This window comes from Homo sapiens, chromosome 2, assembly GCF_000001405.40.
Source record: "Homo sapiens chromosome 2, GRCh38.p14 Primary Assembly".
NCBI lineage: Eukaryota > Metazoa > Chordata > Mammalia > Primates > Hominidae > Homo > Homo sapiens.
This window is the reverse complement of record NC_000002.12, coordinates 68,930,660-68,953,513: the sequence shown is the minus strand read 5'-3', so window position 1 is coordinate 68,953,513 and position 22,854 is coordinate 68,930,660. Positions and strand designations below refer to the sequence as shown.

Below are 22,854 nucleotides of genomic sequence, written 5' to 3'. Positions count from 1 at the left end.
AGTTTTGGGCGAAGCTTAATGTAAAAATTTGGTTAAACTTGGTAATTGGGGAGAATGCTTTCTGAGTCTTGTTCCTCATTAATTTCTGGAAATTGACACCAAATCTAAAGGGAAGAACGAAGAAAGTCCTAGGCTGTTTGTTCTCCAAGCAGGCCTCCCCAGCCACTGTCTTGGCACCCCGTCTCATATCCGTTCCCTCTGTGGAAGAATTCAGCCAGCAGAACAGTGGTGAAAAGACATTGAGTTGGGGCCCAACTCAGGCCTTAAGGAAGCACTCTTCCTTTAGGAGGAGATGTTAGAAGTTTGTCCTTGTAGAGCTATAAAATGTATGCATAGAACAAGCATCATGCAATATTTTTAAAGGGTGGAAATTAAAATGTCAAGTGCAGCATAGTACAAATAGCAGGGAATATTTACAGAGTGACCAAGTGGTGAATTTTCATTACTGACTAATGAACTTCATTGATATCAGGTATGTGGTTGGATCTCAATTCTGATAAAGGAGTTTGCTAGGGTGTGTCAGAGATATAGACATGGTCTTTTCCAAAGTGATCATTTGAAAAAGAGATATCCACATCTTCAAGCCCATATAAAGGATAGAAGCTGCACAGGGCAGCTTTACTTACTCCAGCACCTTCCTCTCCCAGGCAAAATGAAAATACTTGTGAGTATTTGTTTCTGCTTCTTGATACTCTTGTGGTGACTGCTTGCAGACAATGCTCATATCTAATATGCCATGGATTTTGGGAGTCTTAGACAGATACTGTGCATGCTTCTAAGCTTCTGTGATTGAATTAATGACATCTTTGGCAGAAATAGTGTTGAATAAGTCTGACTTTTTTTGTCCTTTTCCTGTTTTGAGATGTTTACTTAAAAGAAAATTCAAAAATACAAAGAAATCTCTAGATAATTTTGATTTGGAGGATGTTTAATAATAATCCTTTATTATGAGCTTCATAGGGAATTTGGGCTATTTAAAACAACTACATTTGCTATCTAAGAGAGAAGCTGTAGTTTAAAAATAATATCAGTAATAGTAATAATAGTACCTCTCATTTCTCAAATGCATACTAAGCCTTAGACTAAGCATATCACATGAATAATTTCATCTATTCATTGCAACAACCCTATGAGTTGAGTAGTATTCTCCCCGTTTTACAGATAAGGAGACTGAGAGGCAGAGGAATGTGATTTTCCCAAGCCCGTAAATGTGGGATTTAGAATGTAATTTATCCATCTGAATCCCCACTTGCAGGCGCAATCATGGCAAATTTAAGCAGCCAGAGTGTCTTCAATGTCCTCTCATTATGACTAAATTCTCCCTTAGGACAAAACGTTCCTTCTATGGCCACTCCACCCCTCCATCTGATCCCAGCCTCCGTAGTTCCACATTGCAGTGCCCCATGGACAGTGGGCTATGTTCTGACCTAGAATGGAATTCGCTCCCCTAGTCTCTGTCCTTTATTCTCATTCAGCTGCTAAGGGAGAAAGCAAAATGTTAAGTACCTCTTTCTAAAGTGTTAAAGACTATCAGCTTAAAGAGCTCCCTCTCTCAGGGCTGTCTTGATTTTCCAAATTGAGACCTAACCCTGAAGCACAAAAGTATTATATAACCATGGTGTATTAACCACAGTGTTGGAAGGGAGATCATTTTGGGGCAGAGGACACTCCCCAAGCTCTCTCTAATCATACCATTAAAGTGGTTTAGTCCTTCGACTACTTGTTCAAACCACTATTTTAGACTCATTAACTAGAATATACGGGAGTATCATATGTTGCTGGAGCTGGTCTGTGGTAAGAGAAGATGTATCCCTATGGAAGGCTGAATATCAGCACACAGGTCTTTGTTAGATGCTCTACTCCCAGTCCCCAGAAGAGAAATATTAAGGGTGGGATGGAAAGGGAAGTAGGAAAGTCCCACTGACAGTTCTTAAAAATATCCCCCTTCCCCAAGACTCCTTTCATCAGCAGTTTTCAAATGACAGTGCAGTCAACTATGTACTGATGTAGTTTTCAGCGATAGTACAGTTCACTGATGTTCAGAAGAGAGGGTACAAAACCTGGGTTAGCATGTTGGAACAGACTCTTACAGAACTACAGCAAAATATCAGAACTGCTTCAATGTCAGCTCACGACCTGTGGGCCCAGCACTTGTGTGATAGTATCACTAAGGCATAGGAGAATATGGGGGTTTTACTTGATGTCAGCCTCAAAAGTTAATTGTGCTCCCAAGCATTCTATTTTCATAGTTTCCCTTAGGAACCTGTCAGGTCTTTATCACCCATGATTCATTTTAAATCTGTATTACCCTCTCAGTCTTAAGGGATTAAAGTTTTTTAAAATTAATTAATTAATTAATTATTTTTTTAGAGGACACAATTTGACCACTGTTATCCAAAGCTAGTGTGAATCATACCAGAGTATTTCCATAGTGAAATGAATCCTTCACTGCTCATCTGCCCCGGGTTTCTCCTACTATCTACATGGTTATAATGCTAGAAAGAGTTGGGAATTAGGTGGCAATTGTAGCACCCTGTGTCTGGCAAATAGAATGAACTCAACAAATGCCTGTTAAATGAGCCAATGTGTGAGCCAATCAATGTGTGCGTGGAAAGGGAGTGCTGACCATCTGTGGCCACTCAGTGTCTCTAGGTGTACATTTTCTGAGATATCTGTGCCTTTCCTGTCCAGTGTTTCCTCCTGTCCCACACTCAATGACTACCCTATAAAGAATGGATGTGGTGGGTCTGTTTTTCAGGTGGCATTTCTGGTGGTGCTGACCATCTTTGGGATACAATCTCATGGATACGAGGTGAGTTGGTTCCTTATGGACTTTATCTCTTAGAGATGTTGGGAGAGGAAAGGGAAGGTACAAGAGAGCCTGAAGACAGTAGAGAGGCCATATGCCTTATTTGGGATGGAATCTCAGAAATAACCAATAATGGAAATAATGAGCTTGGCTATTCCTCTCCAACCACAATACCTTTGCAAATGTAAGCCATTGCTTTAAAATGTGGTCAGTCTCATTTCTCTTGTGATATCACTGCTTCTCCCATATATAATATAGTAAACTCTAAGGAAAAGCTTTGCCTTCTTATGGCATCATAAGTTTTTGGATTGGGACCCCAGTGGACAGTTTTAGTTTTTAATCCCTTGTTCATAGCAGGCAGCTGCTTTATTTTGTTGGAAGAGTTGCCTTTCAAATATATAAGATTTATGGAAAAACATTTTGTCTTTCTTTTCAATCTAGGTTTTTAACATCATCAGCCCAAGCAACAATGGTGGCAATGTTCAGGAGACAGTGACAATTGATAATGAAAAAAATACCGCCATCATTAACATCCATGCAGGATCATGCTCTTCTACCACAATTTTTGACTATAAACATGTAAGCAGCAAATGAATTTTCATATTCATCAGGACTAGTTTGCTAAAGAGCAGAGGGATCTATATATATATGGGGCATATATACTTGAATTCTTAGACTTAACCTTGCAATTCTTTAAGAATTCCTCACTTTCACTTTTCTCTTTAAATAATCAAGCAATTGGTTAAAAAAACAAAACCATTTTGAAGAAAAACATATGACAGGAAACATATGCATTTGCTTGACCTTTTCAGGTAGAAATTGGAAGAGTAATGCTATTATCCCACTACAGGCTCAGAAAGTGCAAAGAAGAGTAACCAAAGTCCAAAGCAAAGCCCGGCATGCAGACACTCAAACTCATTTGTTGAGTGAACAAATGAATGAATAGGGCTTCTAACACAGAACATCATGCAGAAAAAGAACAATTGGTCAGGCACAGTGGCTCATGCCTGTAATCCCAGCACTTTGGGAGTCTGAGGCGGGAGGATCTCTTGAGCCCAGGAGTTGGAGACTGGCCTGGGCAACATGGCAGAATCCCATCTCTACCAAAAATACAAAAATTAGCTGGGTGTGGTGGTGCGGGCCTGTGGTCCCACCTACTTGGGAGGCTGAGGTGGGAGGATTGCTGGAGCCCAGGAAGTCAAGGCTGCAGTGAGCTGAGACTGCACCACTGCACTCCAGCCTGGGTGACAAAACGAGATCCTGTCTCAAAAAAATAAATAAATAAATAATTAAAAAATATAAAATAATAAAAAGAACAATCACAAAGCAATCACAACATAGCAGAAATCCAGAGCAACTATACACATTTAATTATGTACATAGGGTAGGCAAAAAATCATACTTTTTCTGTAAGAAAGAAAATCTGCTAACTAAAAGCACTAAACTATTTTCAAGTGTTAGATACTGGCATTAACAATAAGTCACAGAAACCTGCTCAGAAAACATATCCTTCATCAGTTATTTATTCATTTGTTTTCCATTTCTTCCACCAACGAATTATGAACCTGCTTCTACCTAGGTTCCAAGCTATGCACTATGGATATAAGTAGGTTCCTGCTCATCTCACTAGACTTTTGAACATGATTTTCTGTCCCTTTTCTTCTAGAAATGTCTTCACGTTCCTCTTTCCCATTGGTGTTGGCAGTTCAATCACACATTTGAAAGTATAGAGTCATTAGAAAATGTGGTTTAAAAGGAAGTGGCACTGAAATTGTTTTTAAGCAACTGTCATGGAAATCCCAAAACTGTCTTTAAAAAAAAATGGAGAAGTGAGGATTTGCTTTAAGCTTCTTCCATTATCACCAGGCTCAGCCTCTGTCTATTTTTTGAATTTTAGGAACTGACAATTTGTGAGAATTGAAAAATAAGAACCAGAAAGATTTCTATTAGATACAGCTTTCTAGGGTATATCATTATTTGGAACTCTGTAGAGACAATTTTCACTCCAGGTGAAGACTCAGTGGCCTTAGGTCCCATCTGGCCCCAGGGTCTTCACCCTCCATTGCTCTTTCAATCCCACCTTATTGCAACCCATCCCTCTCCAGCCAGCTTGGGTTTGAGATGGAGAAGGGATGGGGAAAACTGGAGAGGAAGAAAAGATGGCAAATGAGGGGAGGATAGATGAGACGTGTGTGAGCGTGCATGAGTGTGGGTATGGGTATGCTTATGAGAGCTCCTAAAGCAGCACTGTCTAACAGAACTTTCTGCAGCGGTGGAAGTGTTCTAGATTTGAATTTCCAATAGGGAAGCCCCCAGCCGCCTGTGGTTATTGAGTACTCAAAATTTGTAACAGAAGTGCATTTTAAATTTTACCTAATTTGAATTTAAATTTAGATAGTGGCATATAGCTAATAACTATCATATTGGACAGCACAGTTTTTTTTTTTTGTTTTTTTTTTTTGACGGAGTCTCGCTCTGTCACCCAGGCTGGAGTCCAGTGGTGTGATCTTGGCTCACTGCAAGCTCCACCTCCCGGGTTCATGCCATTCTCCTGCCTCAGCCTCCCGAGTAGCTGGGACTACAGGTGCCCGCCACCACGCCCGGCTAAATTTTTTGTATTTTTAGTAGAGACGGGGTTTCACCATGTTAGCCAGGATGGTCTCGATCTCCTGACCTTGTGATCTGCCCTTCTCGGCCTCCCAAAGTGCTGGGATTACAGGTGTGAGCCACTGCACCTGGCCAGGACAGCACAGTTCTAAAAAATATTCTATTTACCCCAAACTGGGGAGGAAGCAGAATAAAATTAATGGAAAGAAGCCAGATGCAGTAGCTTACACCTCTAATCTCAGCACTTTGGGAGCTCAAGGTGGGTGGATCACTTGAGATCAGGAGTTTGAGACCAGCCTGGCTAATATGGTGAAACTCCATCTCTACTAAACATAAAAAATTAGCTGTTCATGGTGGTGCACACCTGTAGTCCCAGCTACTCTGGAAGCTGAGGCAAGAGAGTTGCTTGAACCAGGGAGGTGGAGGCTTCAGTGAGCTGAGGTTGCACCACTGCACTCCAGCCTGGGCAACAGAGTGAGAGTCTGTCTCAAAAAAATAATAATAATGGTAATAATAATAATAAAATAATGGAAAGAGACAGAGTAGTGCTTCTTCTCAATCTTTCAAACCTCAAACTGCAGACCCTGGTTCCATGACATGAAAAGCAGAATATAGTCATGGGTTTGCACAATTTCAAAGGGGTAGAAATGACAAGTGAAAAAATGAAAATGTTATGTAAAATAAGTCAAGTGGATAAAGTTGATTGCAGATTGGAGAGCAATCCCACCATATATTCACTGTGCATGTTCAAGTCTTTCTTCCGAGGTTCAGGCATCATCTTCACCAAGTTCAGATTCAGGGAACTAGGGAGGAACAGTAACTGTACTCTTGCTGCCTCAGGGCTACATTGCATCCAGGGTGCTCTCCCGAAGAGCCTGCTTTATCCTGAAGATGGACCATCAGAACATCCCTCCTCTGAACAATCTCCAATGGTACATCTATGAGAAACAGGTAATTCTGGGGCACTCTTGAGTATTCTCTGTTCTTAAGCCAGGCAATACTGGTATTTATGGAGAAATGAAGAGTGTGAGGGAGAAGATCATACTATCATGCCTTACCATAAATGTGATACTCAACTTATTAAAGTTATTAAAGTGTTTTTACTTTTATTTTATTATTTTTTAAGAGCAGGAGCAAATCTTAGCTTGATTTCCACCATATAGTCCTAAATACAAGAATTTATAATAAATTCCAGTGACATTATAGCAAGGACTGATCAGCTTCTCTTCTCAGAGCAGGGCTATGAGAAATGGTGACTGGAACAATAATAAGAGAAGTTCTAATATTCAATGACCCAAAGATGCAAAGAAATAATACAGTTGAGTGAACATATACAAACAGTGCACTGCGGCTAGAGACCCAAGGTTTAAGTCTCCCTCCACAACTTCTTATAGGTGCTACCTTTGACATGGGACTTACTTTCTTTGGGCTTCATTGCCACCAGAGGTAAAATAACACTGGTAATTACTAATGAGGCTACTTCACAGATAGAGTGTTCAAAAAGAGATGATGTCTTGAGATCCCTAAGTTCTTTCTATTTAATAATCTGAAAGAGAAAAATTGTCACAATTTAGAATAAGGTACACCAATTTTTGTCAATTTATTTTATGTTGTTCTTTTCTGTTATACCGATCTAGGCTCTGGACAACATGTTCTCCAGCAAATACACCTGGGTCAAGTACAACCCTCTGGAGTCTCTGATCAAAGACGTGGATTGGTTCCTGCTTGGGTCACCCATTGAGAAACTCTGCAAACATATCCCTTTGTATAAGGGGGAAGTGGTTGAAAACACACGTGAGTACCAATAAGTCATTCACTCACCAAATATTTTCTGAAAGCTACTATGTGCCAGGTGCTCTGTTGGGTGCCAAGTGAAATGCAAATAAATGGGAACAGTACTCAGTTCAGTTTGCTTTGGGAATTAATTACATGCCATGTGTGTAAATTGTGCTAAATTTTAGGAATACAGAAATGAATTAAACGTCTCCAGGGAACACATAGTCTAGTGAAGAAGCTGACAAGTGAAAAGAGAGGATGGAGTAAAGGATTTCTGGATGCCAATGAAAAACTACTCGATTCTTGTATACTTTCATATGTAAGAATTTCAAGTAGCAAAAAGTCATCTGGGCCCTTAGAATAGCATATTTTGAAGATAATAAGAAGGAAGTCACTAAGAAATGCTCTCAGGATCTAGAATAGAATTGGTATAGGAAAGAGGAGGCCAAGCGGACTTACAGACAGGGAGTAAAAACCCTGATTCATCTGGGTAACATATGCCACTGCAGATATTACTGTCATTTTTATACAAAGTTTCTAAATGTGGCAGAGCAACCAGAGTGAAAGAGGTCGGGCCAACTGATGATGAACACAACAAAGGAAATTTCTCAGAGTACTGGAAGGTAGATAAAGAAGAGTTTATGTTTATTATATATCTACTGCCCAGAAAAAAATTTTAAGTACTCATTCATAAAGTAAATAAAGGCACATAGGTATGCCATTGACACAGAATGGCATAATATCACTGGGATTGAGCCAACCAGCACTTCCAAAAGTTGTCAGTTTTATTTAAGCTAATGTATTATTATTCTAATAATTCCAATAATATATTTTTTAATGCTCTTTCTCTGAAAAATTTTCCCTTTTCCAGATAATGTCGGTGCTGGAGGCTGTGCAAAGGCTGGGCTCCTGGGCATCTTGGGAATTTCAATCTGTGCAGACATTCATGTTTAGGATGATTAGCCCTCTTGTTTTATCTTTTCAAAGAAATACATCCTTGGTTTACACTCAAAAGTCAAATTAAATTCTTTCCCAATGCCCCAACTAATTTTGAGATTCAGTCAGAAAATATAAATGCTGTATTTATAGATTTTTTGGTGTTTGTTGTTTTTTGTAAGCAGCAAAGGGAATCCAAGCAATGTCTTTGTCACTATATAGAAGAAAAAAAATTGCCAGAATTTTAAATAAGGTGCATAATGTGTGAAAATTCCCAGATAATACCACTGGGTCACATGTGGACTAGTCAGCTGGGGTCGAATTTCCATTTCTTCGTCTGCCCTCTGGACCAGCTTCCCATCTAACCATCCAAATATATGGGAGCAACCTGGGTAGAGAAGAGGCTCACACGGTGGTGGCCTTGACCTGGCCAGGGGAGGGACATAGCGTATGCTTATCAAACAAGTTGAATGCTCAGGTGAAGGCTTTTAGGGCCATTCATATGAGTTAAAATGTCCTTTAACTCACCAAAGCAGTAGACTCAACCTGAATAAACTTTATAATAATATGTGTTGCCCTGGAGTGAGAAGGGAGAAAGGGAGAGAGGAAGGAGCACCTAACGTCCAGGAAAAGATGCACCATACTGAAGATCATAACAGGAGTGAAAGACTAGAAATGCCAAGTCAATACATAGCAGAAAAGCAACTTCCAATATTTCAAATAAATTGCACATTGTGTACAAATCTCAGATCGTGAAGCTGGGTCACACGTGAACGTTCGGCTGAATGCAAATTCAGAGCAAAGAGGAATTACTTTAATAACAATTTATTCTCTTGCCGTAGACCTCTGGGATCCTAGCTGCAGAGGACCCCCGGCCTCCGCGTTTGAGCTGACATGAGACTCTCACTAGAGATTAGATGGAGAAAGGGCTCCAGCAGGCACGGAGCTGGAAGCTTTGTCTGTGAGACAGCTCCGCGGGAGCACTCATCCCCCAGGGCTCTCTGTCTCCCTCTGAGAGGCTCTGGCCCCATATAACCACCAGAATGGGAGAAGAAGTGCTTCCCCGTGGGATTAGGGCACATCTGTCCCGCAGGCCCACCTGCCTGCCAGTCCCTCCCAGGATTCCTGCCTGGCCACCCCACAGGAGTGTGTACACAGTGCAGCCTCAGCTGCTCAGCATGGGTGCTTTGCTCCACTTGAGTGCATTCCGGCAGCGTGGGAGCTGTTTGAATCCCCCAGTGCACACAGATCCCAACCCCAAGGGTCCAGGGGAGGGAGCTGTGAGCAGATCCGGACGTCCCAGGGCTGTGGCTCCGGAGTGCGGAACTGGGCCCAGTGCTTCAGCAGAAGAGGAGCCCATACTCTCAGAAAACTCTCAGAGAGGGGTGAGTCGCACAGGTTCCTGGGCTGGTGTGGAACCTAGGCGTGCCTCCCTCCACAGAGCTGGTCCAGTAAGTGTGGGGCCTGTCTCCCTGCTGGACCTCTGCCTGAAGGAGCCCAACGACCTGGAACACCTAACAACAACAGAAAGTCACGGCCACAGTGCCAGTGATCAGGGGTCCCTCCCCTCAAGACCGAGGAGGAGACCTGGTGAGGGGTCACCCCTCTCCCCCTTGCACCACAGAGCACGGCTTCAAAGGCCCGGATACACAAAGGAGCCGGGTGGCAGAATATTAGTCTAGCTATCTCCCATTGCTCTCACGCGCCATCTACTGGATTTCATCCCAAACTACAACACGAAAAACTGCTAATTTTCCTGCCTGCCAGGCCGAGGACTGGAATTCAACAGACTGTTTAGAGCCTTTGCCCTCTGAAAACTTCCAGAAATGAAGCCAACTGACTATATTCAGTTTACACCAGAGTTAAAGGAACGCCAACCCTCCCAGATGAGAAAGAATCAGTGCAAGAACTGTAGCAATTTAAAAAACCAGAGCGTCCCCTTACCTCCAAATGAGCCCACTAGCTCCACAGCAATTGTTCTTAACCAATCTGAAATGATGAGCATGGAATTCAGAATCTGAATGGCAATGAAGCTTATAGATATCCAGGAGAAAGTTGAAATGCAATCCAAGGAAACCAAGCAATCCAGTGAAATGGTTTAAGAGCTGAAAGATAAAATAGCAATTTTACAAAAGACCCAAACTGAGCTTATTGAGTTCAAAAAAGAATTTCATAATACAATCAGAAGTATTAATAGCAGAATAGGCCAAGCTGAGGAAAGAATCTCAGAGCTTGACCCCTGGTTCTTTGAATCAACTTAGACAAAAATAAAGAAAAAAGAGTTTTAAGAAATGAACACAATCTCCCAGAAATATGAGATTATGTAAAGAGACAAAATCTATGACTCATTGCCATCCCTGAGAGAGAAGGAGAGAGAATAAGCAACTTGGAAAATATATTTGGGGACATAGCCCACAAAAATTTCCCTAATCTCTCTAGAGAGGTTGACATGTAAATTCAAGAAATACAGAAGACCTTGGCCAGATAATATACAAGATGACCATCCCCAAGGCACATAGTCATCAGATTCACCATGGTCAATGCAAAAGAAAAAAATCTTAAAGACAGCTAGGGAGAAGGGTCAAGTCACATGCAGAAGGACTCTCATTAGGCTGGCAGTGGACCTCTCAGCAGAAACCTGACAAGCCAGAAGAGATGGAGGGAGAGGGGTCTATTTTTGTCATCCTTAAAGAAAAAAAATTCCAACCAAGAGTCTCATACACTGCCAAACTAAGCTTCCTAAGTGAAGGAGAAATAAAAACCTTCTCAGACAAGCAAATGCTGAAGGAATTCAACTAGACCAGCCTAACAAGAGGTCCTAAGGGAGTGCTGAATATGGACTCAAAAGAATAACACCTGCTACCACAAACACTCACTTAAGCACACAGCCCAACGACACTATAGGCAATTACACAGTAAGTCTACATAACAACACAATGACAGGATCAACATCTCACACATCAATACTAACCCCGAGTGTAAAGGGGCTAAATGCCCCACTTAAAAGACATAGAGTGTCAAGCTTGATAAAAAGACAAGATCCAATCATCCACTATTTTCAAGAGCTCTATGTTATGTGTAATGACACCCACAGACTCAAAGACTTGGAGAAAGATTTATCATGCAAAATCAGAAAACAAAAAAGAGCAGGAGTCACTAGTTTTATATCAGACAAAACAGACTTTAAACCCTTAATAATTAAGAAAGACAAAGAAGGGTATTTCCTGGACCACAGAAGGCTTATTGGAAAAAAGGACATAATGACAAAGGGTACAATCCAACAAGAAGTTTTAACTATTCTAAATATATACACACCCAACATTGGAGCACCCAGATTTATAAAACAAGTACTTCTCGATCTACAAGAAGACTTAGACAGCCACACAATAATAGTGGGAGACTTTCACATCCTACTTACAGATCATTGAGACAGAAAACTAATAAAAGAACTCTGGACTTAAACTTGTTACTTGACCAATTGGACCTAATAGATATCCACAGAAAACTTCACCCAACAAAGACAGAATATACATTCTTCTTATCTGCACATGGAACACATTCCAAGATCAATCACATGCTAGGTAAGAAAGCAAGTCTCAATAAATTAAAAAAAATTGAAATCATACGAACCTTAATATCAGACCACAATGTAATTAAAAATAAATCAATATCAAGAAGATCTCATACATAAATACATGAAAATTAAACAACTTACTCCTGAATAACTCTTGTGTGAACATCAAAATTCAGGAAGAAATAAAAAATTATTTGAAATTACTAAAAATAGAGACATACCTTACCAAAATCTCTGGGGTACAGCTAAAGCAGTGTTAAGAGGAAAGTTTATAGCACTAAATGCCTTAATCAAGAAGTTAGGAAGATCTCAAATTAGCAGTCTAACTTTGCATCTAAAAGAACTAGACAGAAAAGAACAAACCAACCCCAAAGCTAGCAGAATAAAAGAAGTCACTAAAGTTAGAGAAGAATGGAATGAAATTGAGATGCAAAATCCATACAAAAGATCAAATGAAACCAATAGTTGTTTCTTTGAAAGAATAAATAAAATTGATAGACCCACCTAGCTAGATGAACAAAAAAGAAAGATCCAAATAAACACAATCAGAAATGACAAAGGTGATGTTACAATTGATCCACAGAAATACTTGTCCTCAGAGACTGCTATGAACGTACACAAATTAGAAAATATAGAGGAAATGGATAAATTCCTGAAAGCAAAAAATCTCCCAAGATTGAATAGATGTGAAAATTCTCAACAAAATATTAACAAACCAAATCCAGCAGCATATCAAAAAGTTAATATATCATGATCAAGTAGGCATCATTCCAGGAATGCAAGCCTGGTTCAACATAGGCAAATCAATAAATATGATTCGCCACATAAACAGAATTGAAAGCAAAACCTACATAGTCATCTCAATAGAGGCAGAAAAAGCTATCAATAAAAATTCAACATCTATCAAACGAACATACCTCAAAATAATAAGAAACATCTATGACAAATCCACATCCAACATCATACTGAATGGGCAAAAGCTTTAGCCATTCCTCTTAAGAACAGGAAGAAGGCAAGGATACCTACTCTCACCACTCCTATTCAAGGTAGTACTGTAAGTACTAGTCAGAGAAATTAGGCAAGAGAAAGAAATAAAAAGCATCCAAATAGGAAAAGAAGTCGAACTATCTCTCTTTGCTGATGATATATTTGTATACCAAGAAAACCCTAAAGACTCTGTCAAAAGACTCCTAAAACTGATGAATCATTTTAGTAAAGTTTCAGGATACAAAATCAATGTACAAAAAGTAGTAGCATTTCTATATACCAACAGTGTCCAGGCTGAGAGTAAAATCAAGAACACAAACTCACTTAAATAGCCACAAAGAAAATGATATATCTAGGAATACAGCTTTCACTAATGAGGTGAAAGATCTTTACAAAGCTTAAAGAAATCACAGGTGACACAAACAAATGGAAAAAAATCCATGACCATGGATTGGAAAAATTAATATTGTTAAAATGGCCATACTGCCCAAAGCAATATACAGATTCAATGCTATTCTTTTAAAACTGCCAATGTCATTCTTCACAGAATTAGAAAAAAACTATTCTAAAATTCATATGGAACAAAAAAGAGCCCAAACAGCCAAAGCAATCCTAAGCAAACAAAACAAAACAAATGAACAAACAAAAAACAAAGCTGAAGACATCACACTACCAGACTTCAAACTACACTACAAAGCTACAGTAACCAAAACGGCAGGGTACTGGTACAAAAACAGACACATAGACTAATGGAACAGGTTACAGAACTCAGAAATTAAGCCACACACCTACAACCATCTGATCTCCAACAAGGCTGACAAAAACAAGCAATGGGGTAAGGATTCCCTATTCAATAAATGGTGCTGGGATAACTGGCTAGGCATATGCAGAAGATTGAAGCTGGAACCTACCTCTCACCGTATACAAAAATTAACTCAAAATGGATCAAAGACCTCAAAGACCTCAAACTATAAAAATCCTAGAAGATAACCTAGGAAATACAACATTAACCTTGGCAACATTAGCCTTGGTAAAGAAGTGGGATCTAATTAAAGAGTTCCTGTGCAGCAAATGAAACTATTAACACAGTAAACAGACAACCTACAGAATAAGAGAAGATATTCTCAAACTACGGATCTGACGAAGGCAAAGTATCCGTCCAGAATCTATAGAGACCTTAAACAAATCAACAAGTGACAAACAAATAACACTTTAAAAAATAGGCAAAAGAGATTAACTGATACTTCTTAAAAGTGGCCAACAAACATATGAAAAATTAGCATCACTAATAATCAGAGAAATACCAATAAAATCACTAAGAGATACCATCTCACACCAGTCAGAATGGCTATTATCAAAAAGTTAAAAAATCCACAGGTGTTGGTAAGGCTGTGGAGAAAGAGGAACACTTATACACTGTTGGTGGGAATGTAAATTAGTTCAGCCCCTGGAAATCAGTCTGGAGATTTCTCAAAGAACTTAAAACACAGATACCATTTGACCCAGCAATTTCATTACTGAGTATATACTCAATGGAAAATAAATCATTCTACCAAAAAGACACATGCACTCATATGTTCGTTGCTGCATTATATACAATAATAAAGACAAAAATCAACCCAGCTGCCCATCAATGGTAGATTGGATAAAGAAAATGTGGTACATATATACTACGGAATACTACACAGCCATGAAAAGGAATGAAATCATGTCTTTTGCAGCAGCATGGATGAAGTTGGAGGCCATAATCCTAAGCAAATTAATGCAGGAAGAGAAAACCAGATACTATGTGTTCTCACTTATAAGGGGGAGCTAAACATTGAGTACACGTGGACATAAACATGGGAACAATAGACACTGCAGACTATTAGAGGAAGGAGGGAGAGAGGAAGATTCAGGTTGTAAAATTACCTATCTGGTACTATGCTCAGTACCTGGGTGATGGGATGTGTATACTTAACATCAACATCACACAATATTCCCATGTAAGAAACCCGCATGTATACTCCCTGCACATAAAATAAACACTGATTTTTTTTTTTAAATGCAACAACAAATAGGTTTTTCCAATTCTCCTTATCAATTGTCACTTTGGAAACTCAAATACAGTTGAAAACTGGCCAGGAAAGTTTTGGGGTTCCTCTGATTGTTTCGTAAAAGGAGTTTAATAACATTTAAAAAATAATTTCTATGTGCCATTTACTACTTTTATTTCTAAAACTGTACATCTACTTCTTAACAGTCATCAATGTACTCAGCACTGGAACAGGTATGCTGGGGGAAGAGGCCCAAGGCAAAGCTACCATAGCTGCCAAAGTTATTTTCTTGTTGGGGAAATAAGCATTAGTATGAAAACACTTGATAACAACAGTAATGAATGCACAATAAAGTGCCAAATGAATGGTAGAGTGTCTGAGCTGGGGCTTTGGTGTTTGCAAGTGATGCAAACCAAATCAAATTTGCTGAGGCCAAGGGGGAATTTACTGTCTCATATAACTAACCATGGAAGAAAAGAGATACTCTGGTCTTGAGCAGTGGAACTAGATGCTTGAAGGTGACCACACACTCTCTTTCCATGTCTCAACTTTCCTCTCTACATTCAACCTCAGTATCTTACACTGGGTTTCTCCATGAGGATAGAGTCAATACCACTGTGAACTACACTATAGTCAACCGCTATTGGTCCTCATCTTCCCACCTTGATCATCAGAGAGAAAAGGACTCCTTTTAGTTCTAATTTCAAATTACTTTTAATTTTAAAAGTATATGATCCTAATTGGCTCATGTGGGGCACAATCCTGTGGCCAGCATTAGGGATAGGAAGTTGGGGTGCAGGAAGGGGTGTTATGACTGGTAAACTCCTTTGGAATCTACTGCTTAGAGATGTGTTATCCTCATTAATTTTTATAGCATTGCTCCTATTTTTAGCATTTGCTCTCTAACTCTCCTCTTTGCTGTTGTCATGCTGAATACGTGTTAGGAGCAGCCAGTGGAGGATAACAGGCACACCCTAAAAGGAATGTGTCTAAATGGAAGCTACAATGCAGCTGGGGCTTTGGTTATATTTTTTCCATAATTAGCCCCCTCTTAAAGACTGAAAAAAGTAGACATCGACTCCGTTAACTTACTGGATGCTCAAGCCAGAGACCCTCTCTGGGCCATCAGGGAGAAGGAGCAAACCTGGACCGAATACCACAAAGCACCCAGGATGCTGGAAGAGTTGGTCAGACTACAAAAGCTGGCTTGAGCTGAGTTATGCCTCCCTGCCCAGAGTCTAGTGGGTTCTGGCAGTGCTCTCTCCTCATAGTGGCCCAGCTGAGAACTGATGGTATCCTCCAATGCACAGTCAGGCTGGAATGGCCTTGTGGATCCACAATGGGGACCTAGAGGCAAGTTAGTTTGATAGGGAAAAGGCAGAGTTCTAGGTCATCTGTGCCCTGACTAGTTTATTTTCAAGCCAGCCGAGCAATCTAGCTTTCTGCGGGATGGAGGAGCAGGTATCCAGCATTGGAAACCCATGGAGAACGGGGGAGAAAGAGAGAGGAGGACCTTTCAGCTGTGGAAGGCTCTTTGGAGAATGGTTTGTGGGAGGGGATTAGTTCTGGTTTGGCCATACTCCCAGCCCTGTAGCAAAACCTCCTCAGGGCTTCCCCTCTCTCCACACCCCTCCCAGTGAGGCTGATGCTTTGAGCTTACTCCTTACACAGTATTAACCATGCCACACTTATAGGCATTGTCATCTTGGTTTCCCCAACCCCCTTTCTCCTGTGACAGGTCCTTTGCTGGCAGTGGACAGGTAAAATCCTTACTCTAGCCTACTTCAGCTCTGTTCCTCATTCCCCGAGGGGTAGGGACTTTTAGAAAGTGGCCCATCCCATGGTACATGGTCCCTTCTTGACCACACTAGGACTCAAGTACAAATTAGCATTTCCCTTTTTATGAATCACTTAAAAAGTGGTACTACCACACTCCACAGCAGATATTGCCACTTTTAAAATGATTTTTAAAAAGGAGAAGGCTAATTTCTTCCCTGCTGGCTTCCCTACCTGCACCTTGTAGATAGCACCACCCGGGGTGCAGGCTGGGGCAGGCTGTGGTGGGAAGGGAAGCAGTGGTGTCCCAGTTCTGGAGAAAGGCTTGCAGACTCTGCCTTTGGCAGGATTTTTCTGCAATTAGCCATCTCCTGGGCAGAATGAAGGGAATTTCCCAGCCTGTTTCCTGCCTGGGCAGGCTCCTCAAATCCAGGGATGAACTATTAATACTTTCTGCAGGGCCAGCTCTCCTTTTGGTTTTATTATGGTACCAATTCCAGGGCTTTGAGGGTTACAGGGAACCAGGCTTTCAGTGGGGTGGGGCGGGGGGAGGTAGACTGCTTCTCATCTACAGTTGGAGAAGATTCCAGAAGGAGAATACTGTCTGGCTTCACTGTTCTCTCTGGGTTGTTTCCTTGGTTCTCTCCCCAGCTCCATGTTGTCTCAGTCTCCTGGATCCCAGTACCCCTCCAGGTCTTCCATGTGGGCCCCTAGACCACACCACCCACCTTCACACTCCCATTCCACAACTGAGTCCAGTGACCAGCTTATTGATACTTCCTTAATTCTCAGCCAGAGCTAGCCCTCGGATGGCCCAGCGGGTCTCGCTGCTTCAGATGTGGACTTGTGGGCATTCCCTGGCACCATTTTCTCTCTGGGTCCTGTAAGCTCCCAAGTGCAGGAGGTTCTGGGGTACACCTGTGTGCTTGGCAACATCCAGCATTGTGTTTGCTGCTTCATCTAGGTGTCCTGTTGCTCCCATTTCCCGTCATAGGGCATCAATCCTTCAGCAAAGGGAGACAGCAAATGCAATGCTGCCTGTCTGACCACGGGATATACTGGTTCAGATCTCACTAGTGATAGCCCAGACTTCAACTTGCTTTGCAGGGTATTAGATCCCCAATCCCTTAGTGCCCAGGGATTCAAAGTTTGGAGTAATCACAGCCCTGCCAAACAGTAGGGGTGCTGGTGGGGAGTGTCTGCTGGCTGTTCATGAACCTCTGCTGTCCTGGGTCTCTCTCCACTGGACACAGCAGCATCTCTAAGTTACAGACAACAATGTGCTGCCCTGCATGGTTGAACCGCTTCTGACATCTGCTAGGCATCCCGTCCCATGTGCCCTATGCCCTCTTCGATGCCAGTGAGTCACAATGGTCTATGCTTATTCACAGCAGTAATACCTAGGGAGTGCCCACGAAACCCTTTAGTCCTGGTCCCTCACTCCGCATGGATCTCCTGGGAAGGCATCCACTGAGTGGATCAGTTCATGAGAACCTGCATTTATGAAGCTCTGGAGTGTGTAGGCATCATCCTCAGTGAAGACAAGTAAGAGGCCCAGCCCTTAGAGGAGCTGCAGCAGGGAGAGTACCTTCCACCTTGAGGCCACCCCAGACCTGGAGGAGCTGCAGGCCCTGGCTCTGCAAAAGGACCTTTGAGGTGGGTGAGACTGTCTCCCAAATGGGCAGCTCTTGAAAAGGACACATGACCAGTGTGTGTGCGTACTGCCTGCTCTGAGTCTTCATTGGTCCCTCTGTCTTCCTTTTCATATGTATGCACATAAAATATACTGATGTTTGTGTTTTTTTTTTTTTTTTAAAAAAAAGCTGGCCTGAAGGAGCAACTGGGCCCAGGATATGAGTGTGCCAATGGAGCTTTTGCAGGAAGCTGGGTGAGGCATGTAGATGAGGTTCTTATTTTTGTTATTTCCCATACAATTGTGTTTCTTACAGTAAATGACATGTCACATGTCACGCAAACTCGTTTGCTCATCTGAGATAGAATTAAATAGGATTTGTTCATTCAGAGCTCCCAGGATTAGAATACATGGACCCAGACAAATACTTTATTATACAAATGTCTGTTTGGATAACTGACTCAATGAATGAATTCAAGCATTTGTTAACTCAAACATAATAAATATAAATTGGTGAATTAATAAAATATTGAGACTTCTAGCTTCTAATAATGATGAAGTAGCTTATATCAGACTAACATGCCTTCCATAACAATTGTAAACCTGGAAAAAAATATAAATAGTAGCCATTTGAAGACAATAAAGTTACCCCAAACAGGCAGAAACTAACGAGGATATGACCTTTAAAAGAAATGCTTATTCATCTATTGCTGGTAAGAGTTGTCTAATACTCTGTGGCAAAACCAGTCCATTGATTACCCAACCCCACAGCTCCAATTTAAGTAGCAACAAAAAAAAAGCCCTTAATTTTAGAAAATATATTCCTTTAGTTCCAGGGGATTAATCATGATTAGTCTGAATCAGTAGTTTTCAACTGGGGTGTGATTTTTCTCCCCTCCCCTGGAGACGTCTAGTGGTGTTTGGAGATATTTTTGATTGTTACAGCTGGAGGGTACGTTATTGGCATCTAATGGGTAGACACCGGAGATGCTGCTAAATATCCTACAATGCCCAGGGCACCGCCCTACAACAAAGAATGTTCTGGCTTCAAATGTTTACAGTGCCAAGGCTGAGAAAGCCCTGGGCTAAATCAGTCTTGGTTTCTTTTAAGACAATAAAGCAGTATCATTTTCCTCAGTCTATGATTGGCCTGTGGGTGGCCATATGATCTCGGTTCCTGCCAATGAGTTATAAGTAGAAATCTGCTAAGTGGGGCTTTCAGGAAAGATTTTTCTTTCCTAATAAGGAGTAACAGACTCAGCTGGCATGTGACTCTGCCCTTTGTGTGTTCCTATCATCCTTCCCTCAATGAGGATATGAGGCTGATGTCAGGAGATGATTGGCCATTTTAGGACCATGAGGCAACAATCCTAGATAAGGAAGATTCGGGAAAGAAAGAAAGAGCTAGAATGCCTGACTGCATTATTCCAGAGCTGCTCCAGCTGGGACTTCCTTCCTGGATCAGTATCTACCTGTTTAGGCCACTGTGACTGAGTTCTCTTTTTTCACCGTTGAAAGCATTTCTTACAGATACACCTGAAAAAGGCTGGATAACTCCAGTGAGTACACATGCCTCCAGACCTGGGCCCACCCAGCGCTGCTGTCTCCACTTCTTTCACCCCTAAAACCCTTTTGCAAATTCCAGGCTCACCACCTTCCTTTACTCACGCTGCAGAAACCCAATACTGAGGGCTACTCCTAGGATAACTTCAAGCAAATGTCACTTGAAGCTCACTGCCCAGCTCTCTTTGGCCTGCCATTCCTTCTTATCAGTCCAGACACTGTCCCTAATTCTCCCTTGGCTCTTGGGGAAATGTCCGATGTTGCAGCAACTCTGATGCACAGGGCTCAGCACACATTCAGGAATGGAATCGAGTGCTTCTTGGCGTTTAGGATCTAGGTGTATCCCATTTTAAGGTGGTAAGCCCATTTCCTCAGCATGCTTTTAACCACTAGGGAAGGATTCCCTGGCTGCTGCATGGCCCTTCCAGCTCATGCAGTAGCATATGACCTCAAAAAGGGACACCCCAAGAATTCACCCCTCACTGCCTCTAATGATGCAGCTCACCCCTCAATCTTCCTCTAAAAAGTTACTGTTGCTACACCCATACATGGCCTTAGGTAAGCAATGCCTGGTCAATGGACAATCATCCTGTCCTCTTATTCATGACCTTTGTTAGCTTCTCTTTTCTCCTGTTTGACCCAAACTAATCACAATAGGGAGAATCCTGGGGCTACTCACCAGCCCCTTACCATCTGCAGTTGACTCCCATCTCAAGAGACTTGCCAGAGTGTGTTTGATTTTTGCTGAGAACTCCTCAGCATATTCCATTATGCTAAGGATAAATTAAAGGATAATTCCATTACTATCCCTTTCCACTCCGTTGGGGCCAAGGGCGAGGTTGGCTATTGCCTGGGAGTGGCATGAAAAAGCCTTCTGGGGCATTGGAAGTCTTCTCTCTTCCTCTGGTTGATGGCTACATTGGATGAATATATGTAAACATTCATTGAGCTGTGCACTTAAAATCTGCACTTCATTGTATAACTCAATAAAAATGTTCATATATTTTTAAAATTTAAAACACAAAATAAAAAGGAGGCCCATCCAGTCTTCAGCAGTCTCAAGATACATACAAGTTGGCCATGGCTAGAGCCCATCAGCACTGAAAGGCCCGGGTTCCAGCTGCCTGGTGCCTGGAGCCAGGCCAGAGGACCCAGTGCTGTGGTCTTCCTTCAGGGATGGGGAGGATGTAAGTCCATGGACAGCTACAGCTCTGCCTGCTGTGGACGGCTGGGGTACTGCCTCTGTGTAAAGCATCGCCCAAACTAACTCAGTCCAATGGAGGGGCTCCACACAAATAACTACTGACATATGGGTTATGTTATGGGGTGGGTCTCTCCGCCCCAAGCAGACAGCAGGACAAGGAGAAGCAGCACATTCCAGGCAGGATAAGGGGCACTGCTCCTGATCTCTTGGAAAGGAAACTGAGAGCACAGAGTGAGCAGGTAGCCAGAAAATGAACACTGGGCAGCTGCCTCCTGTGGCTGGCGAGCCAGCTCACCCATACCCACGGTCCTGAGTTTGGACACAGCTGGCTCTTCCCTAGACTGCAGAGAAGCAGGAGTGGCAGGGAGAATTAGAAGTGGCACCATCGGGGGTGGAAAGGACTGGTAAGGAAATTAAGATGTTCCCCCTAAAGGGAAGTCTGTCAATGGAGTGCCTTTCTCGAAACAAGGAGACCAGGAAATTTGACCTCTGTTTTAGATCTCCTCTCACTGGGAAAGGACTCTTGAGCAAGGATGGAATTCTTGCAGGAGAGTTTTATTTATTGCGAGAGAGTTTTGAGTCCCAGCTGGGATTTAGACATTACTTAAAGACTTCTTGGTAATCCTCCAAGTGCCCAAAGATTCTTTCAGGGTAGATCTGCTCAGGAAAGAGGGGGCTGGGACACAGTCCTAATCCAGTAACAAACTCTGGAGAGGGAGGAGCAGTTTAATGACATTGTGATGTTTCAGGCTCAAATTTGTCGCCGGTGCAGTCCCTAGTGAACTCATATTCCAGGTCTCAGGGTGGTGGGTGGGGACTGAGTATAAAAACAACAGTAGCCACAGATGAGAAAAGCCCCCCCTTTTTTTTCACTAGTTTCTCTAAGAAACTAGGGTACACATTGCAGGGTGATATGGTTAAGCTCTGTGTCCCCACCCAAATCTCATTTGGAATTGTAATCCCCATAAACCCCATGTGTTGAGGGAGGGACCTGTTGGGAGCTGACTGGATTACAGGGGCAGTTTCTCCCATGCTGTTCTCGTGATAGCGAGTTAGTTCTCACGAGATATGGTGGTTTCATACATGTCTGACAGTTCCTCCTTCACACACTCTCTCTTTCACCTGCCACCATGTAAGACATGCCTGCTTCCCCTTCTGCCATGATTGTAAATTTCCTGAGACCTCCCCAGCCATGCAGAACTGTGAGTCAATTAAATCTCTTTTCTTAGAACTGTGAGTCAATTAAATCTCTTTTCTTTATAAATTACCCAGTCTTGGGCAGTTCTTTATAGCAGTGTGAAAACAAACTAATACACAGGGCATACATGAATGATTGAGATGCCAAAAGGTGAGGAGAGACTCATTTTTCTTATTTCTGCACTGGGTCCAGAGGGCTAATGCCCCTTAAGCCCCCTCAGGCTCCCCAGATCAGTGGCAGAGATGGCAGTGTCTGCCCAAAAGGCAGCACTCCACAGAGGGGCAGCAGGTGGAGACAGCTCAGCTGAGGACTCTGGGTGCTGTGGGTTCCCTGGCCCCTTCTCTCAGCTGTAAGAGGCAGCATTGACTATGTCAGCCTATGTCAAAGACAGGGGCTGCCCCAAGGGAGGAAGAAAAGAGAGATGATCTCCCTGCTTGGAAGATCACTGGGCTCATTCTTAGCTACTTTTAGGCACTCCCAGGGAGACTCAAAAATTATTTCAATGGACTCAGCAAGAAGCTTAAGTTCTCATTTATTTATTTATTTATTTTTATTATACTTTAAGTTCTAGGGTACATGTGCACAACGTGCAGGTTTGTTACATAGGTATCCATGTGCCATGTTGGTTTGCTGCACCCATCAACTCGTCATTTACATTAGGTATTTCTGCTAATGCTATCCCTCCCCCAGCCCCCCACCCCCGGATAGGCCCCAGTGTGTGATGTTCCCTTCCCTGTGTCCAAGTGTTCTCATTG

At 42.1% G+C, this 22,854-nt stretch overlaps 1 protein-coding gene across 1 annotated transcript, besides 1 other annotated feature; it reads left to right on the top strand.

The window, feature by feature from the left end:
- Nucleotides 1-620: 620 nt before the first annotated feature.
- Nucleotides 621-8,282, top strand: GKN2 (gastrokine 2). The gene is made up of 6 exons (NM_182536.3): nucleotides 621-664; nucleotides 2,759-2,812; nucleotides 3,251-3,388; nucleotides 6,257-6,367; nucleotides 7,054-7,210; nucleotides 8,064-8,282. Exons 1-6 carry the CDS (start codon nucleotides 653-655, stop codon nucleotides 8,144-8,146), a joined length of 555 nt encoding a protein of 184 aa, NP_872342.2. The 5' UTR covers nucleotides 621-652; the 3' UTR covers nucleotides 8,147-8,282.
- Nucleotides 9,588-9,777: an enhancer, noted in NCBI's record as "active region_15968". NCBI's record gives its function as "activates an Ori minimal core promoter by ATAC-STARR-seq in GM12878 lymphoblastoid cells {active_cell/tissue: GM12878}" and the evidence as "EXISTENCE:reporter gene assay evidence [ECO:0000049][PMID:35858748]".

Bases quoted from the DNA above. Each gene is read 5' to 3' on its own strand.
- GKN2 (NM_182536.3), top strand. The intron at 2,813-3,250 runs GTGAGTTGGTTC...TTTTCAATCTAG, and splicing joins TACAATCTCATGGATACGAG to GTTTTTAACATCATCAGCCC. The intron at 7,211-8,063 runs GTGAGTACCAAT...TCCCTTTTCCAG, and splicing joins GGAAGTGGTTGAAAACACAC to ATAATGTCGGTGCTGGAGGC.